The sequence below is a fragment of the Homo sapiens genome, chromosome 2, assembly GCF_000001405.40.
Source record: "Homo sapiens chromosome 2, GRCh38.p14 Primary Assembly".
Classification (NCBI taxonomy): domain Eukaryota; kingdom Metazoa; phylum Chordata; class Mammalia; order Primates; family Hominidae; genus Homo; species Homo sapiens.
This window is the reverse complement of record NC_000002.12, coordinates 239901712-239917594: the sequence shown is the minus strand read 5'-3', so window position 1 is coordinate 239917594 and position 15883 is coordinate 239901712. Positions and strand designations below refer to the sequence as shown.

The window sequence follows — 15883 nt, the reverse complement described above, 5'->3', positions numbered from 1 at the left end:
ATGCAACCCAGATGTCCGTTATCTAGGTTTTTCTCTCGTGCCTAGCATGGCTTATTCCATGACCTTCACTGTGGTGTCCAGGTGGCTGGATCTCAGGCCTGCCCAGATAGTTTATGATCTTCACTCCACTGCTTAGATAAAACAGAATGCTTGAAGTTACTAGTTACAGAGAACAGGAATCTATAAACTCATACCATAAGAGACAGGAAAATTTGTTTTTATTCTCCCTATGTTGAGGGAGTGCTGGGAGAGTCTTCAGAGCACATTCCTTTTTGTCCTAGCTTCTTAAGACAGTGTTTATCAAGACTTTTCATGGGTGTGGGCCTTGCCTGCTACTGCCTTTGGGATGAGTCAGCCTAATCCAGGAAAGCCTATTTCTTTCTCTTTTTAATTTTATTTTTATTATTTATTTAATTTCCCACCTCACTCTGGCTTCCTGGACCCTTTCCTTCCTTGGTGCTCAGTGTCAGCCCCTCCCTGGCCTAACCTGAGACCCCACCCCCAGGCATTCCTGCCTGGATGTGCTCAGGGCCTCACTCTGGCCGGCGACTGTGACAGGTGTGTGTGTCTCTCTGGGTGTGACCACACTGGAGCAAGTGTTATGTCCACAGTGTTTCATGTCTGCCCTGTAATGCCAGAGCCTGGGACGGTGCCAGCACCCCATGGCTCCTGGTCAGATCTTGGGCATCAAGTCTGAGTCTGACCCCAGGGGTTGAGACATAATGGCCAAAGGGATGGTGCAAAGAGGTGGGGCCACCAAGAGCTGGTGAGGCCGTGAGGGCTGCTCCTCCTGAGGGAATCAAGGCTCTCGTGAAGGAGGCTCACACAGCGCCTGTTCCGCACCTGTCCCTCACCTTCCACCCCAGAGGTGGCAGCACAAGGTGCCGTCCTGGGAGCAGAGAGCGGCCCTCGCAGACACCAAACCTGCTGGTGCCTGGACCCTGGACTTCTCAGCCTCTGGAATGGGGAGGAAATAAATGTTTGCTCTTTATCACTTGTGCAGCGTTGGTATTTTGTTAGCTGCATATGCAGATGAGGATGTGGTCTTTGCTGGATCTGGAGATGTCAGGGAACTGAGCTTGGCCTGTGACGGGCATTTGGGCTCTTCCTACAGGATTCAGTGTGGTGCATCTCTGTGTCTCTGTGTGTGTCTGGCTGTGTCTGTGTCTGTGTGTGTGCGCTACTGTGTGTGTTTGTATGTGTGTCAATGTGTGTGTGTATCTGCATGTCTGTGTATGTGTGTCTGTGTGTGTTCTGTGCATGTGTGTATGTTTGTGTATCTGTGTCTGTGTGTGTCTGTATATTTGTATCTGTGTATGTGTGTGTGTTCTGTGTGTGTGTGTATCTCTGTGTGTCTGTCTGTGTGTATCTGTATATTTGTGTGTGTATGTATGTGTGTGTTCTGTGTGTATGTTTGTGTGAGTATCTCTGTGTGTCTCTCTGTGTGTGTCTGTATATTTGTGTGTGTCTATGTATGTGTGTGTTCTCTGTGTCTCTCTGTGTGTATCTGTATCTTTGTGTCTGAGTATGTATGTGTGTGTGTATGTTTGTGTGAGTATCTCTGTGTGTCTCTCTATGTATCTGTATATTTGTGTGTATCTGTGTATGGGTGTGTGTGTGTGTGTATGTCCATGTATCTCTGTGTGTCTCTCTGTGTCTGTCTGTGTATGTGTGTGTGCTGTGTGTGTATGTGTATCTCTGTGTGTCTCTCTGTGTGTGTCTGTATATTTGTGTGTGCCTGTGTATGTGTGTGTTCTGTGTGTGTGTTTGTGTATCTCTGTGTGTCTCTCTGTCTGTATTTATATATTTCTATGTGTCTGAGTATATATTTGTGTGTTCTGTGTGTGTATGTGTATCTCTGTGTGTCTCTGTATATTTGTGTATGTCTGTGTATGTATGTGTGTGTTCTGTGTGTGTATATGTTTGTGTGTGCATCTCTGTGTGTCTCTGTGTGTCTGTATATTTGTGTGTGTCTGTGTATGTGTGTGTGTGTGTATGTGTATCTCTGTGTGTGTGTCTGTATATTTGTGTCTGTGTATGTGTGTGTTCTCTGTGTATGTTTGTGTATCTGTCTGTGTGTGTCTGTATATTTGTGTGTGTCTGTGTGTGTGTTCTGTGTGTGTGTATGTATGTGTATCTCTGTCTCTCTGTGTGTGTGTCTGTATATTTGTGTCTGTGTATGTGTGTGTTCTGTGTGTATGTATGTGTATCTCTGTCTCTGTGTGTGTCTGTATATTTGTGTGTGTCTGAGTATGTCTTCGTTCTCTGTGTGTGTGTGTATGTTTATCTCTGTCTCTCTGTCTGTGTCTGTATATTTGTGTGTGTCTGTATGTGTGTGTGTTGTGTGTGTATGTTTGTGTATCTGTGTCTCTCTGTGTCTGTGTATTTGTGTGTCTGTATACGTGTGTGTTCTGTGTGTGTATGTTTGTGTATCTCTGTGTGTCTGTATATTTGTGTGTGTCTGTGTATGTGTGTGTTCTGTGTGTGTGTATGTTTGTGTATCTCTGTCTCTGTGTGTGTCTGTATATTTGTGTGTGTCTGTGTATGTGTGTGTTCTGTGTGTGTATGTGTATCTCTGTGTGTCTCTCTGTGTGTGTCTATATATTTGTGTGTGTCTGTGTGTGTGTTCTGTGTGTATGTTTATATATCTCTGTGTCTCTCTCTGTATCTGTATATTTGTGTGTGTCTGAGTATGTATGTGTGTGTATGTTTGTGTGAGTATCTCTGTATGTCTCTCTGTGTGTGTCTGTATATTTGTGTGTGTGTATGTATGTGTGTGTTCTGTGTGTGTATGTGTATCTGTGTGTCTGTATATTTGTGTGTCTGTGTATGTATGTGTGTGTTCTGTGTGTGTATGTGTATCTCTGTATATTTGTGTGTGTCTATGTATGTGTTCTCTGTGTGTGTGTGTATCTCTGTGTCTGTATATTTGTGTGTGTCTGTGTATGTATGTGTGTGTTCTGTGTGTGTATGTGTATCTCTGTATATTTGTGTGTGTCTATGTATGTATGTGTTCTCTGTGTGTGTGTGTATCTCTGTGTCTGTATATTTGTGTGTCTGTGTATGTATGTGTGTGTTCTGTGTGTATGTTTGTGTATCTCTGTGTGTGTCTATATTTGTGTGTGTCTGTGTGTGTATGTTTGTGTGTGTATCTCTGTGTGTCTCTGTGTGTGTCTGTATATTTGTGTGTGTCTGTGTATGTATGTGTGTGTTTTGTGTGTGTATGTGTATCTCTTTGTGTCTGTATATTTGTGTGTGTCTGTATATGTATGTGTTCTGTGTGTGTGTTTGAGTATCTCTGTGTGTCTATATTTGTGTGTGTCTGTGTATGTATATGTGTGTGTTCTGTGTGTGTGTATGTTTGTGTATCTCTGTCTCTGTGTGTGTCTATATTTGTGTGTGTCTGTGTATGTGTGTGTTCTGTGTGTGTGTGTATCTCTGTGTATCTCTGTGTGTGTATCTGTATATTTGTGTGTGTCTGTGTGTGTTGCCTGTGAACTCCGTTTCTCCTGCTGGTCTGGGGAAGTAAAGGTTTCTCAGATCTTGCCAAGCCCAGAGTTTTGTGCTGTCCTGTGCTAAGTCCACGTCCGCCTCAGTTCCTGCCCACCCTTGTTCCACCTGCTGGAAAGGGGAGCTGCTGAACAGACTGACCAGAGAGTGGGAGAAACTGAAGAGGCCACACATGTGGATGACAACAGGACGCTCTTGGCCACGTCCTCCTGCACGCCGAGGTGATGCCCCTTTCTGGCATCTGCACACATGTGCACAGACACTGGCCTTTGCTTCAGGTGCTGGAACATGCAGCCTGCCAGATGGGGTGGGATCCTAAACTGCATCCGGTTGAGCTCAGGGACTCTGCAGTGTTGACAGATCAAACATGGTTGAATACTACAATTTTCCGGTTCAGCCTGTAGTGTTACAGCAACAGGAGGCAGAAGGCCTGCACAGACGTGAGCCTGACGCATACATGCAGGAAAGGACCCTGCCCCTTGGGCCGTGTGGCCCAGAGCTCCCCGCAGTATTGAGATGTCTGCAGTGGTAGCAGACAGCCCCAGGGGGAGAATCACGTGGAGGCGTCTGAGGTGCAGAGCAAGGCCACGCCACCCACCCAGCATGTGTGCTGAGCCCCTTAGAGATGAAGCTCTTGGCCAAGGTTCACCACGTGACCACAAGGCCAGCCCGCCCATCGTGGCAGAGTCCTGTAGGACCCGTCATGTCCTCAGGTTGCGTGGGCCGAGCAACGAGCCCGCACAAGATGGAAGTGGTGCGCCTAGGCCAGCGTCCTCGGAGGAAGGGAGCAAGCTAAGCATGAGTGGCCTCACCCCCAGTCAGCTACGACTCCCACCTGGGTCACTCCCCACGGAGGGCAGTCTTGGCTCAAGGTACAGCCCCACAGAGGGCAGTCTCTTTCAACCAGCTGGCAGAGGAGGAAGAAGGCTGGGCATGGTTCAGGGATTGGTCAGCTTAATGATTGGATGCAAGCCAAACGTGGGCTGGTGGTTATCCTACAGCCCCACTCAGCAGTGGCCCCGAGTGGCAGAGGTGGGGGAAATCCTCCCCTTGCCAGAGCTTTGGGCAGGTCACCTGCCACTTGCTTTCCACAGAAGGAAAGGAGCTGGAGGAGAATACGCATGTTGACTCGGGCAGCTGGGAACAGCTTGGCTGGCTGGACCAAGGCTTGGAAAGACTCGGGAATCGGAAGATCAGGGACAAGGAGGTCTGGAGTTGAGGCAGCACGTGGACCCGATGGAGTGACCTGAATGTGAAGATCTATGGATGGACATTGACACCCAGGTAGACAGGATGACCTGGCCAGTTGACCACCACCAGCCTCTGTCACCTGTGTCCTCAGTGTGACACAATGGGCTCCTGGGCGGAGAGGTGGTGGTGGCAGGGATAGGGGTATGTGTGGCCCCAGCATTGTGGGCCCCAACTCATGGAGGCTGATCCACCTACTGCCAGATGTCCAGCCTACGAGCAACAGACACCAATGCTGAGCCCCACGTGGCACCATCCCTGGGAAAGGCTAGCCAGCCACTCAGTGGCAAGTTAATTGCATCAAGGGCATTCTGCCCAGGAAAGACCCCAGAAGGGTGAGCAGCTACTCTCGCCTGGCTCCAGCATGTGTTCTGGGTACAAGTGTGTCTTTTCTGCCCTCAGGGTCTGGCCAGCACCACCAAGTAGGAGCTGACCCAGCGTTGGCAGGGGCGGCAGGAGGATGACTATCAGCTACAGCCTGGAGGCCAGCTGCAGCTCGGCCCCACGAATCCGCTTCCCACCCTTCCTCTCCCAAGCGTTCTGCCCAGGATGGGAGCCTAGCCAGAATCCTGGAGGAGATGTTCCCAGGTAGGCAGCCTTATTCTATGGAGCCAGGGGAGCCCAGCAGGACCAGAGGGGGGTGCAAAGTGCTGGGTGCTCTGTGTGCCGCCCAGACCCTCCTTCAGGACTGAGGCCTGAATGTTCCAGCTACAGGAGTATTGGCTTTGGATGGTTCATGCCTGAGTCCTTTAGAAAGTTCTGTGGGCACGAGGGGTGTACCTCCAGCGAGTGAGCAAAGCTGCGCCTCCTCTCTGGGGCAACATGCAGCTGGTGCCTGCTAGACGCATGGTCCCAGCAGCTGCCCTTGTACACAATCCCAGGAAACCCCCCAGGGCTGTTCCAGATTCAGAGCTGCCAGTGGGGTCCCACTGGAGTCGGTGCCTCCCCCACTTCCTTGAAGCTGTGATTCTTGTCTCAGTCTGTTTCTGGGGAATCTGGCCTGAAACTGCTGGTCACCGAGGGCGTGGACTGGGATTTCTGGGTGGTGTGTGGTGTGTGTGTGCACAAGAGAGAGACTGGGGGATGGGCTGGGGGAAGGAAGAGAGGGAAGGGGAGAGAAGGAGCAACAGGGAGTAGGACACACACACACACACACGCACACACACTCTCTCATGTTTTGGTGTCTGGGCTGGGCTGGCTTTGTAAGTGTTTTTGGGTGCTTTTATGCTTTGTCTAACCTTGGAAAGGTTTGAATCATGCCAGCAGCTCTGCCGTACTGAAACTGTGAAGGAAGTAACCAGTGGAAGGCTCAGGGTGTGGCCCTTTTCCGGGTATGTTGAGCAAGGCTGGAGGATGTACCTCTCAGGCAACTTCTCCTTTCTTGGTTTAAGCAAAACCTCTCTTGTTAGATGAATGTGCATGCCCCAGTCCCCCAGGGTTTGCAGAGCTGGTGGCAGGGAGAGAGGGCTCCTCATTCTACACAGAGGAAGGGGAGCCTGCTGGAAAAGAGCAAGAAAGAGTCGCCTGCCGCCCTGGGGGACGCAAATTTCCTGCAGCAGCCTAGGGGCTGGGATAGTCCTGAGCCCCTTCTCCCAGGTCAGGGTGTGAGCCAGGATTACACACACAACTCCCTCCAGGGAGGCGGGGACAGTAGTAAGTGGTGTTGCTTGGAGAACTGGAGGACACATAGAACCCATTCCAAGGGGACTTGAGTTTCTGGCAGGAACGAGGCCCCAGCGTGGTGTGACTACGGCTGAGTGCCCTCTGCCCAGCAGACCCACTAGGGTGTGTGTGGTGGGTCTAGACCACTGGAGGTGCTCTGGGGAAACACGCAGTGTGACTGTGGTGGGGTGGCTGGGCTGCAGCCTCCTCTCTGCCGGGCACTTGGAAATAGGACTCTCTGCTCAGGACGGAGCGGCCTCTGCCTCCAACGGAGCTGTTGGACAGCTCACGAGGAGGAGCCGGGGCCTCCAGAAGGAAATACTGGACTTCCTGCCATGGTGGGCAAGGTGGCTTAAGTGATTGCTTTTGGAAAAGGCTGATATCAACATTTGTCTCTCAAGCTAGTGACAATGGTCATCTCGGTCACATGATTATTATTTTTTTCTTCCACTTTCATTTTGAGTTCGGGGGTACAGGTGCGGGGCGTGTGGGTTTGTTGCACAGGTAAACGTGTGTCATGGTGGTTTGCTGCACACATCATCCCATCACCCAGGTACTAAGCCCAGCATCCATAGCTACTCTTCCTGATCCTCTCCCTTCCTCAACACCCCCCAGCAGGCCCCAGTGTGTGTTGTTCCCCCGATGTGTCCGTGTTCTCATCATTCAGCTCCCACTTACAAGTCAGAACCTGTGGTGTTTGGTTTTCTGTTCCTGCATTAGTTTGACTGAGGATGATGGCTTCCAGCTCCACCCATGTCCCTGCAAAGGACATGAGCTCATTTCTTTTTATGGCTGCATAGTATTCCATGGTGTATATGTGCCACATTTTCTTTACCCAGTCTATCATTGATGGGCATTTAGGTTGATTCCATGTTTTTGCTATTGTGAATAGTGCTGCAGTGAACATACACGTGCATGTGTCTTTATAATAGAATGATTTATAATCCTTTGAGTATATATGCAGTAACAGGATTGCTGGGTCAAATGGTATTTCTGCTTCTGGATCTTTGAGGAATCGCCACACTGTCTTCCACAATGGTTGAACTAATTTACATTCCCACCAACAGTGTCAAAGCATTCCTTTTACTCTGCAACCTTGCCAGCCTCTGTGTCTTTTGACTTTTTACTAATAGTCATTCTGACTGGCATGAGATGATATCTCATTGTGGTTTTGATTTGCATTTCTCTAATGACCAGTGATGTTGAGCTTTTTTTTTTTTTTCATATGTTTGCTGGCTGCATGTTTGTCTTCTTTTGTCTGCCTTTCTTCTTGCATATTTGTTTAAGTTGCTTGTAGACTCGATATTAGATCTTTGTCGGATGGGTAGATTGCAGAATTTTTCTCCCACTCTGTAGGTTGCCTGTTCACTCTGATGATAGATAGTTTCTTTTGCTGTGCAGAAGCTCTTTAGTTTACTTAGATTCCATTTGTCAATTTTTGCTTTTGTTGCAATTGCTTTTGGCATTTTTTTATCATGAAATCTTTGCCCATGCCTATGTCCTGAATAATATTGCCTAGATTTTCTTCTAGGGTTTTTTTGTTTTGTTTTGCTTTTGTTTTTGAGATGGAGTCTTGCTCTTTCGCCCAGGCTGGAGTGCAGTGGTGCGATCTCGGCTCACTCCAACCTCTGCCTCCTGGGTTCAAGCAATTCCCCTGCCTCAGCCTCCTGCGTAGCTGGGATTACAGGCACATGCCACCACGCCTGGCTAACTTTTTTGTATGTTTAGTAGAGACGGGGTTTCACTATGTTGGCCAGACTGGTCTCGAACTCCTGACCTCGTGATCTGCCTGCCTCGGCCTCCCAAAGTGCTGAGATTACAGGCGTGAGCTGCCGTCCCTGGCCTAGGGATTTTTTAAAAATAGTTTTTGGTTTTACATTTAAGTCTTTAATCCTTCTGGAGTTCATTTTTGTATAGGGTGTAAGGAAGGGGTCCAGTTTCAGTTTTCTGCATCTCTGTCACGTGAATATTAAGACCCCACTTTGGTTTTGTCTGATTCCTCTAGGGTCCATCTGTTTTGCTTTGGACTTTCTCAGAAGCAGCCTGTAAGCCAAGGATTCTAATGCAAGAACTGTTATTTCTTTGGGAGGCGCTGGAGGAGGCAGTGGGGTGACACGAGGAAGAGACCAGCCAACAGAGGGCATGTCATTAAGTCAGAGTCAGCCAGTGGAGAGCTTGGGAGCCGGCTCAGACCACACCTTCGAGTTAGCTGCCCAGAGGGGATGCGGGAGCTGGGGCACCAATCCACTGACTCTGGGCACTTGGTGCTTGGGGGCTCCTCCTGGGGCAGGGACTGACCCTTGTCACTCCAGGTTTCCAACAGGGAGGTAGGTGCAGGTGCCACGATGGCTGTCGTGGTGTGCAACCCCATGGGAAGGTGGGCTGTGGAGGGCACTGAGGGCCTGGCCCCTTCTCTAACTGAGACCTCTCACGCTCACTTTCTTTTCAGTGTACCTCATGTATTGCGAATAAGGGAGTGATCTCTGTTAACAGTAAGTTTATCCCATTTTCTTGTCCTTTCCTAACAGCGCATTGGTGGACATTCTGCCATCTTACTTAAGGTTTGCTGAATTAAAGGCCTGCCTGCTATTTCTTTGTGAAAGTCACAAAGCAAGTCAGGGAGCCCTCAATCCCCATGGGACAGGAAGGGAGCTGCCTTAGCAGTGGGCGGCACTGTCAGGCTGTGGTGGGGCCCTGACTCTCAAGTCTGGGAGCACCGTGCCCAGGGGCAGGGCCTGCAGTCTCCAGGACATCTTTTCTTTTTCTTTTGTTTTTTTAATTATGCTTTACGTTCTAGGGTACATGTGCACAATGTGCAGGTTTGTTACGTATGTATACATGTGCCATGCTGGTGTGCTGCACCTGTTAATTTGTCATTTACATTAGGTCTATCTCCTAATGCTATCCCTCCCCTCTCCCCCCACCCCACAACAGGCCCCGGTGTGTGATGTTCCCCACCCTGTGTCCAAGTGTTCTCATTGTTCAATTCCCACCTATGAGTGAGAACATGCAGTGTTTGGTTTTCTGTCCTTGCGATAGTTTGCTCAGAATGATGGTTTCTAGCTTCATCCATGTCCCTACAAAGGACATGAACTCATCCTTTTTTGTGGCTGCATAGTATTCCATGGTGTATATGTACCACATTTTCTTAATCCAGTCTATCATTGATGGACATCTGGGTTGGTTCCAAGTCTTTGCTATTGTGAATAGTGCCGCAATAAACATACATGTGCATGTGTCTTTATAGCAGCACGATTTATATTCCTTTGGGTATATGCCCAGTAATGGGATGGCTGGGTCAAATGGTATTTCTAGTTCTAGATCCTTGAGGAATTGCCACACTGTCTTCCACAATGGTTGAACTAGTTTACACTCCCACCAACAGTGTAAAAGTGTTCCTATTTCTCCACATCCTCTCCAGCACCTGTTGTTTCCTGACTTTTTAATGATCACCATTCTAACTGGTGTGAGATGGTATCTCATTGTGGTTTTGATTTGCATTTCTCTGATGGCCAGTGATGATGAGCATTTTTCACGTGTCTGTTGGCTGCATAAATGTCTTCTTTTGAGAAGTGTCTGTTTATATCCTTCGCCCACTTTTTGATGGGGTTGTTTGATTTTTTCTTGTAAATTTGTTTAAGTTCTTTGTAGATTCTGGATATTAGCCCTTTGTTAGATGGGTAGATCATAAAAACTTTCTCCCATTTTGTAGGTTGCCTGTTCACTCTGATGGTAGTTTCTTTTGCTGTACAGAAGCTCTTTAGTTTAATTAGATCCCATTTGTCAATTTTGGCTTTTGTTGCCATTGCTTTTGGTGTTTTAGTCATGAAGTCCTTGCCCATGCCTATGGCCTGAATGATATTGTCTAGGTTTTCTTCGGTTTTAGGTCTAACATTTAAGTCTTTAATCCATCTTGAATTAATTTTTGTATAAGGTGTAAGGAAGAGATCCAGTTTCAGCTTTCTACATATGGCTAGCCAGTTTTCCCAGCACCATTTATTAAATAGGGAATCCTTTCCCCATTTCTTGTTTTTGTCAGGTTTGTCACAGATCGGATGGTTGTAGATGTGTGGTATTGTTTCTGAGGGCTCTAATCTGTTCCATTGGTCTATATCTCTGTTTTGGCACCAGCACCATGCTGTTTTGATTACTGTAGCCTTGTAGTATAGTTTGAAGTCAGGTAGTGTGATGCCTCCAGCTTTGTTCTTTTGGCTTAGGATTGACTTGGCAATGTGGGCTCTTTTTTGGTTCCATAAGAACTTTAAAGTAGTTTTTTCCAATTTTGTGAAGAAAGTCATTGGTAGCTTGGTGGGGATGGCATTGAATCTATAAATTACCTTGTGCAGTATGGCCATTTTCACAATATTGATTCTTCCTGTCCATGAGCATGGAATATTCTTCCATTTGTTTGTGTCCTCTTTTATTTCATTGAGCGGTGGTTTGTAGTACTCCTTGAAGAGGCAGCACACCTTTTCATCAAGAAGAAAGGAGGAGGCACCTTTAGGGTTGGGTGCAGGGCAAAGCGTCTGGACCAGCATTCCCGGGGGCACGCTGGTTGGCTCTTGCCATCCATGGGGTGCACTGCCATTTTCTTTAAATCTTGGGCTGTCCTCTGTGTTTTAGCAACAGGTCCTCTTCATGTTGTCCTGCCTGCCTTAGCAATGGGAGGCACTATAAGTGCGGGGACTCCATGAATTGGCGTGGGGGCCCCCGTCTGGTGTTCTCAAGGCCTGGGGTGCTTCAGGAGCCCTTGTTGCTCTGATTTCAAGGGTCAGCTGGGGTGCTGAGGTGAAGGTGCCCTGAGTATCCCAGAAAATGGCCTCGGCGTCTATCAACAGGGCGTGGTCAGTGCCTAGACAGTCAGCAAGGCACAACTGAAGCCGCAGTTTTGCTAAGAGCTTGAACAGTAGATGATTAAATGACTTTTAATTATATACTGACTTCCTTCCGGGTAATATTTCCAACCACCTGGAGGGCCGGGGGTTCTTGTTAAAAGGTGTGCTGGAGTGTGAAATATCTAGGCACAGAGCAGGGCCCGCCCAGAGCCCCCGAAGGTCATGAGCTCAGCACACATCTGTGGCCAGGGCTGCTTCAAGGTCCCCTGAGCACCTTGGAGGTATCACCCCTCAGGGCTCCAGGAATTCCTTAGGGGAATTCTGATCCCACCACAGGAGGCCAGGCCTCCCGCGCATGGGACAGGATGGGGGCTGCGATCTCTTTTTGCAGCATAGGGGAGGCCGGCCTCCACTTGGCAGGAGACCTCCTCTCCCACTTGGACTGCTTCCTCCCCTCCTGTCCCCTCCCAGGCTGCTCCCCTCCCCTCCCCTCCCCTCCCCTCCCCTCCCAGTCTGCTCCCCTCCCTTCCCCTCCCCTCCTCTCCCCGCTTCTTCTTCTTCAGAGATAATTAGCCTCATCCCTTGGCAGATCTGCAAATGCCTTCTGTCCTCTGTCCTGGGCCTACCTTTCCTCGGAAGCTCTCCCTCTGATGGGGCTTGTGTCCAGGATCCAGGTCTGTTAACAGATGGGACCACGCGAACCAAGGGGAAGAGCAAGGAAATCCGACTGACCTCAGGCTTTGCTGCGTAAACCCCCCGACGCGGCAGCATCCCGTGAAGAACATGTCAATCAGCATTGCTCAGTGCAGAACCGACAGCAGGTGCTGTTGGCCTCACACGCGTGTAGACGCACATACCCCGCCACCACACACACATACGCATGCCCTGCTCCACCTCGGTAGCCGAGAGTCCCGGTGCAAATCTTCGAGGCTGCTGAGGAGCCCAGGAGCACATGTGGTGCCTGGAAATCCCTGGAACCTAGACGCCCTTTGAGCCGGGAGGACCAAGAACACCCACTGGAAGCACTGCCCCTCCTCTGTCCTCTGTGAGACTCAAAGGGTTGTCCTTCCATGTGGTGGCCAAGGAAGCCCCCTTCCCATACTGTGCAGTTAGAGGGGGTCTTCACACTGCATGGGGTACACAGGACCCCAACAGGCCCGGGCACACATTGCGTTCAACCCCCTGGGCTGGGAAGGATCCAGTGAGTTTATACCCAGCAGAGAGGGTAGAACAGCAGTTTCCAAAGATACCCTAACCTCTGGAGCTTGTGAATGGGAACTTATTTGGAAAAAGGGTCTTTGTAGCTCAGTTAAAGGTTTTGAGATGAGACCCTCCTGGATTAGGGCTTCCCAATGACAGGTGTCTATATAAGAGGCGGAAGAGCAGAAGGCACAGACACAGTGAGACGCCGGTGTGAATGCAGAGGCGGGATCGGAGCCATTCCACCACAAGCCAAGGAAGCCTGGAGTCACCAGACACTGGACGAGGCAGGAGGGACCCTCCCCTAGAAGTCTCCAGGAGAAGACAGCTGTGTGGACACCCTGACTTCAGACTTCAGCCTCAGAGCTAAGATAGTGTGTCTGCTGTTGTAAGCACCCCGCCTGATGTGTGGCCAGGTGTTATGGTGGCCCCAGGACACTGATGCACCAGGCTGGGGTGGGGCCCTGGCTCTCAGGTCTGAGGGCACCGTGCCTAGGGCAGGGCCTGCAGTCTCTAGGGCGCCTTCTCAACAAGAAGAAAGCAGGGGCTGGGCATGGTGGCTGACAGCTGTAATCCCAGCACTTTGGGAGGCTGACACAGGCAGATCGCTTGAGGTCAGGAGTTCGAGACCAGCCTGGCCAACATGGCGAAACCCCAACTCTACTAAAAATACAAATATTAGCTGGACATGGCGTGTGCCTGTAATCCCAGCTACTCAGGAGGCTGAGGCAGGATAATCGCTTGAACCCAGGAGGCAGAGGTTGCAGTGAGCCAGAATCACACCACTATACTCCAACCTGGGTGACAGAGAGAGACTACGTCTAAAAAATATGTATAACGAATAAATAAATAATAAATAACTAAAAAGAAAAAAGAAGAAGAAGAAAGGAAGAGGCACCTTTAGGGTTGGGTACGGGGCGAAGTTTCAGGGCCAGTGTCCCCCGGGGCACACTGGAAGGTTCTGGCCATCTCTGGGGTGTACCACCACTTTCTCTAAAGCCTGAATTTCTCTGAGATAGGCCCCCACCCCTCCTCCTTTTGCCCCCTTTGCCTGGCCTCCTGTAGTTCTGTGTTCCTGGAGTGACCCCATGCGCTCAGGACAGCCTGGGCTCCCTGGGATGGGCAGACGCCTGCATCATCCAGGGCGTCTGGACTCTGTGCTGCCCCACTGTTACCATTGCCTGCCCCTGGTTCTCTGCAGCCCTGAGGCCAGGCGGCCCCTGCCCCACCTGATCTCAATGACACAAAGTTCTCCCCTGCATGGAAGAGCTGTGGGACCTTCTCTACCCCACTCTCAGCCCAAAGTGATTCTGTTCCAGCAGGGCCCGGTTAGAAACCGGCAGCTGCCAACAAAAAGGACCCATCTGTGAGAAGGGAAGAAACTGGCTTTTAGAATATCTTGACAATGGGGAAGGAAATTGCAGGAAATGGGAAGAAATGGCAGAGCCGGGACACATTTTCCAAACTGCAAAGATTTTCTGAATATACATATAATAGGTATAATTGACATTCTTTTCCTTATAAAATGCTTCCAGATGATCTCCTTTCCCCTTTTCAACAGGGCAGCGTCCAGCCTTATTTGTCAGGCATGCTCACGCCTTATGTCTGGCCTTATAGAAAAACAGACTTTCACCCAGAGCCTCACTCCAGAAGCATCAGGAGCTGCCCTGTCCTGGGACATGCAGAGCAGCCCAGGGAGGGCAGGGACTGTGGGATCATTCTGTCCAACGCGACTGCAGGTTGGCTGGGCTGAGGTGGCCAAGGCCCTTCCTGGTCACCTCCAGGTAAAATGCAGAAGGAGCCTCCTCGCCCTGAGCTCAACGTAATATACAAGCCCCCCGTGCTGACGTTCTGTGGCCACATTCCTGAAAGGTGTTTTAGGGTCCAAAGCACTCATGAGAAGTCTGGTTTTCTAGAGAAATGTTCCTCAGTGGGGAAGGAGCGCACGTCTCACCAGCTGCCCTGTGTCATGTCCAGCTGTGACCCTGGGAAGCCTCAGAGCCTCAGGGTGACCTCACCAAGCAGAGGTGAGGTGAGCTGGGTCAGACAAGAACGTGCTCTGGATTTCCACCACAGCCACTCATTGCCCATGTGAGTTCCGGGCCTGCCTTTCCACGTCTGTGAAACAGGCACGTGTCTGACCTGAAAGGGTGTTGTATAGATTGAGTGCAATGGCCAACTGCAGCCCAAATATTGGCTGGGCTCCTGCTGTCTCTTCGTTTTAATTAAAATCAAGTCAAATCTGCATTCGGGGGAGCAGGAGCCCAGCCCCCTTCCGCAGGAATCCTGGCTGTTTCCAAAGAGTGGCTCTCAGGGCCGCTTTGGGTCTGGACTGCAGGTCTGGGTGCTTTGTTTGCCTCAGGAACCACCCTGCCACTAAACGGTGTCACCAAATTACCTTTGCCTAAGGTCCCACAAACAGCGCACACCAGGCATGCACAGAACGAGGCCGTTCCCACTCAGGATGAGAAATGTATTTTAGAGCACAAGCCCAGTCCTGTGGACACAGAGTGTACAAGTGTGTACAGACATACCTTTGGGGTATTGCGGGTTCAGTTCCAGACCACTGCAACAAAGTGAATATTGCAAAAAAGTAAGTTGCACAGATGTTTTGGTTTTCCAGGGCATATAAAAGCTATATTTATACTGTACTATAGTCTATTCAGTGTGCAAATAGTATTATGTCTCACAAAAACAATGTGCATACCTCACCTTAAAAATACTTCATTGCTAAAAAATGCCAACAATCATCAGAGCCTTCCGCAAGTTGTAATCATTTCACTGCTGGACTGCTGGAGGGTTTTGTCTGGAGTTGGTGGCTGCTGACTGCATAGGGTAGTGGCTGCTGAAGATTGGGGTGGCCGTGGCAACTTCTTAAAATAAGACAACAATGAAGTTTGCTGCATCTGTTGACACTTTCTTTCATGAAAGATTTCTGTTGCTTGAGATTCTATTTGATAGCATTTTATCCATAGTAGAACTTCTTTTAAAATTAAAATTTTAAATTTTAAAATTGAGAGTAAATCTCCCTGCCACTGCTTTATTAACGAAGTTTATGTAATATTCAGAATCCTTTGTTGTCATTTCAACAACGGTCACGACATCTTCACCAGGAGTAGATTCCATTTCATGAAACCACTTTCTCCGCTCATCCACAAGAAGCAATTCCTCATTCACTCAAATTTTCTCCTGAGATTGCAGCAGTTCCATCCCATCTTCAGGCTCCACTTCTGATTCTAGCTCCCTTGTCATTTCCACTACATCTGCAGTTGCTTCCTCCACTGAAGTCTTGAACCCCTTAAGTCACCTATGAGGGTTGGAATCAACTTCTTTTAAACTCTTGTTAATGTTGACATTTTGACTTCCTCCCATGAATCAAAAATGTTCTTACTGGCATCTAGAATGACGAAGCCTTTCCAGAAGGTTTT

At 49.2% G+C, this 15883-nt stretch overlaps 1 protein-coding gene across 1 annotated transcript in view, besides 1 other annotated feature; it reads left to right on the top strand.

Annotated features, from left to right (window-relative positions):
- The window catches only part of NDUFA10 (NADH:ubiquinone oxidoreductase subunit A10), a 132901-nt gene that overhangs the window by 107748 nt on the left and 9270 nt on the right, over positions 1-15883 (top strand). Inside the window, exons 8-9 of the transcript NR_136158.2 lie at positions 4605-4794; positions 5161-5346. The gene's annotated coding sequence lies outside the window, so the exon portion shown is untranslated. The remainder of the gene's footprint in view (positions 1-4604; positions 4795-5160; positions 5347-15883) is intronic.
- Positions 13152-14059: an enhancer, noted in NCBI's record as "H3K4me1 hESC enhancer chr2:240842953-240843860 (GRCh37/hg19 assembly coordinates)". NCBI's record gives its function as "activates a minimal SCP1, AML or CMV promoter by ChIP-STARR-seq in primed H9 embryonic stem cells {active_cell/tissue: H9 hESC(primed)}" and the evidence as "EXISTENCE:reporter gene assay evidence [ECO:0000049][PMID:30033119]".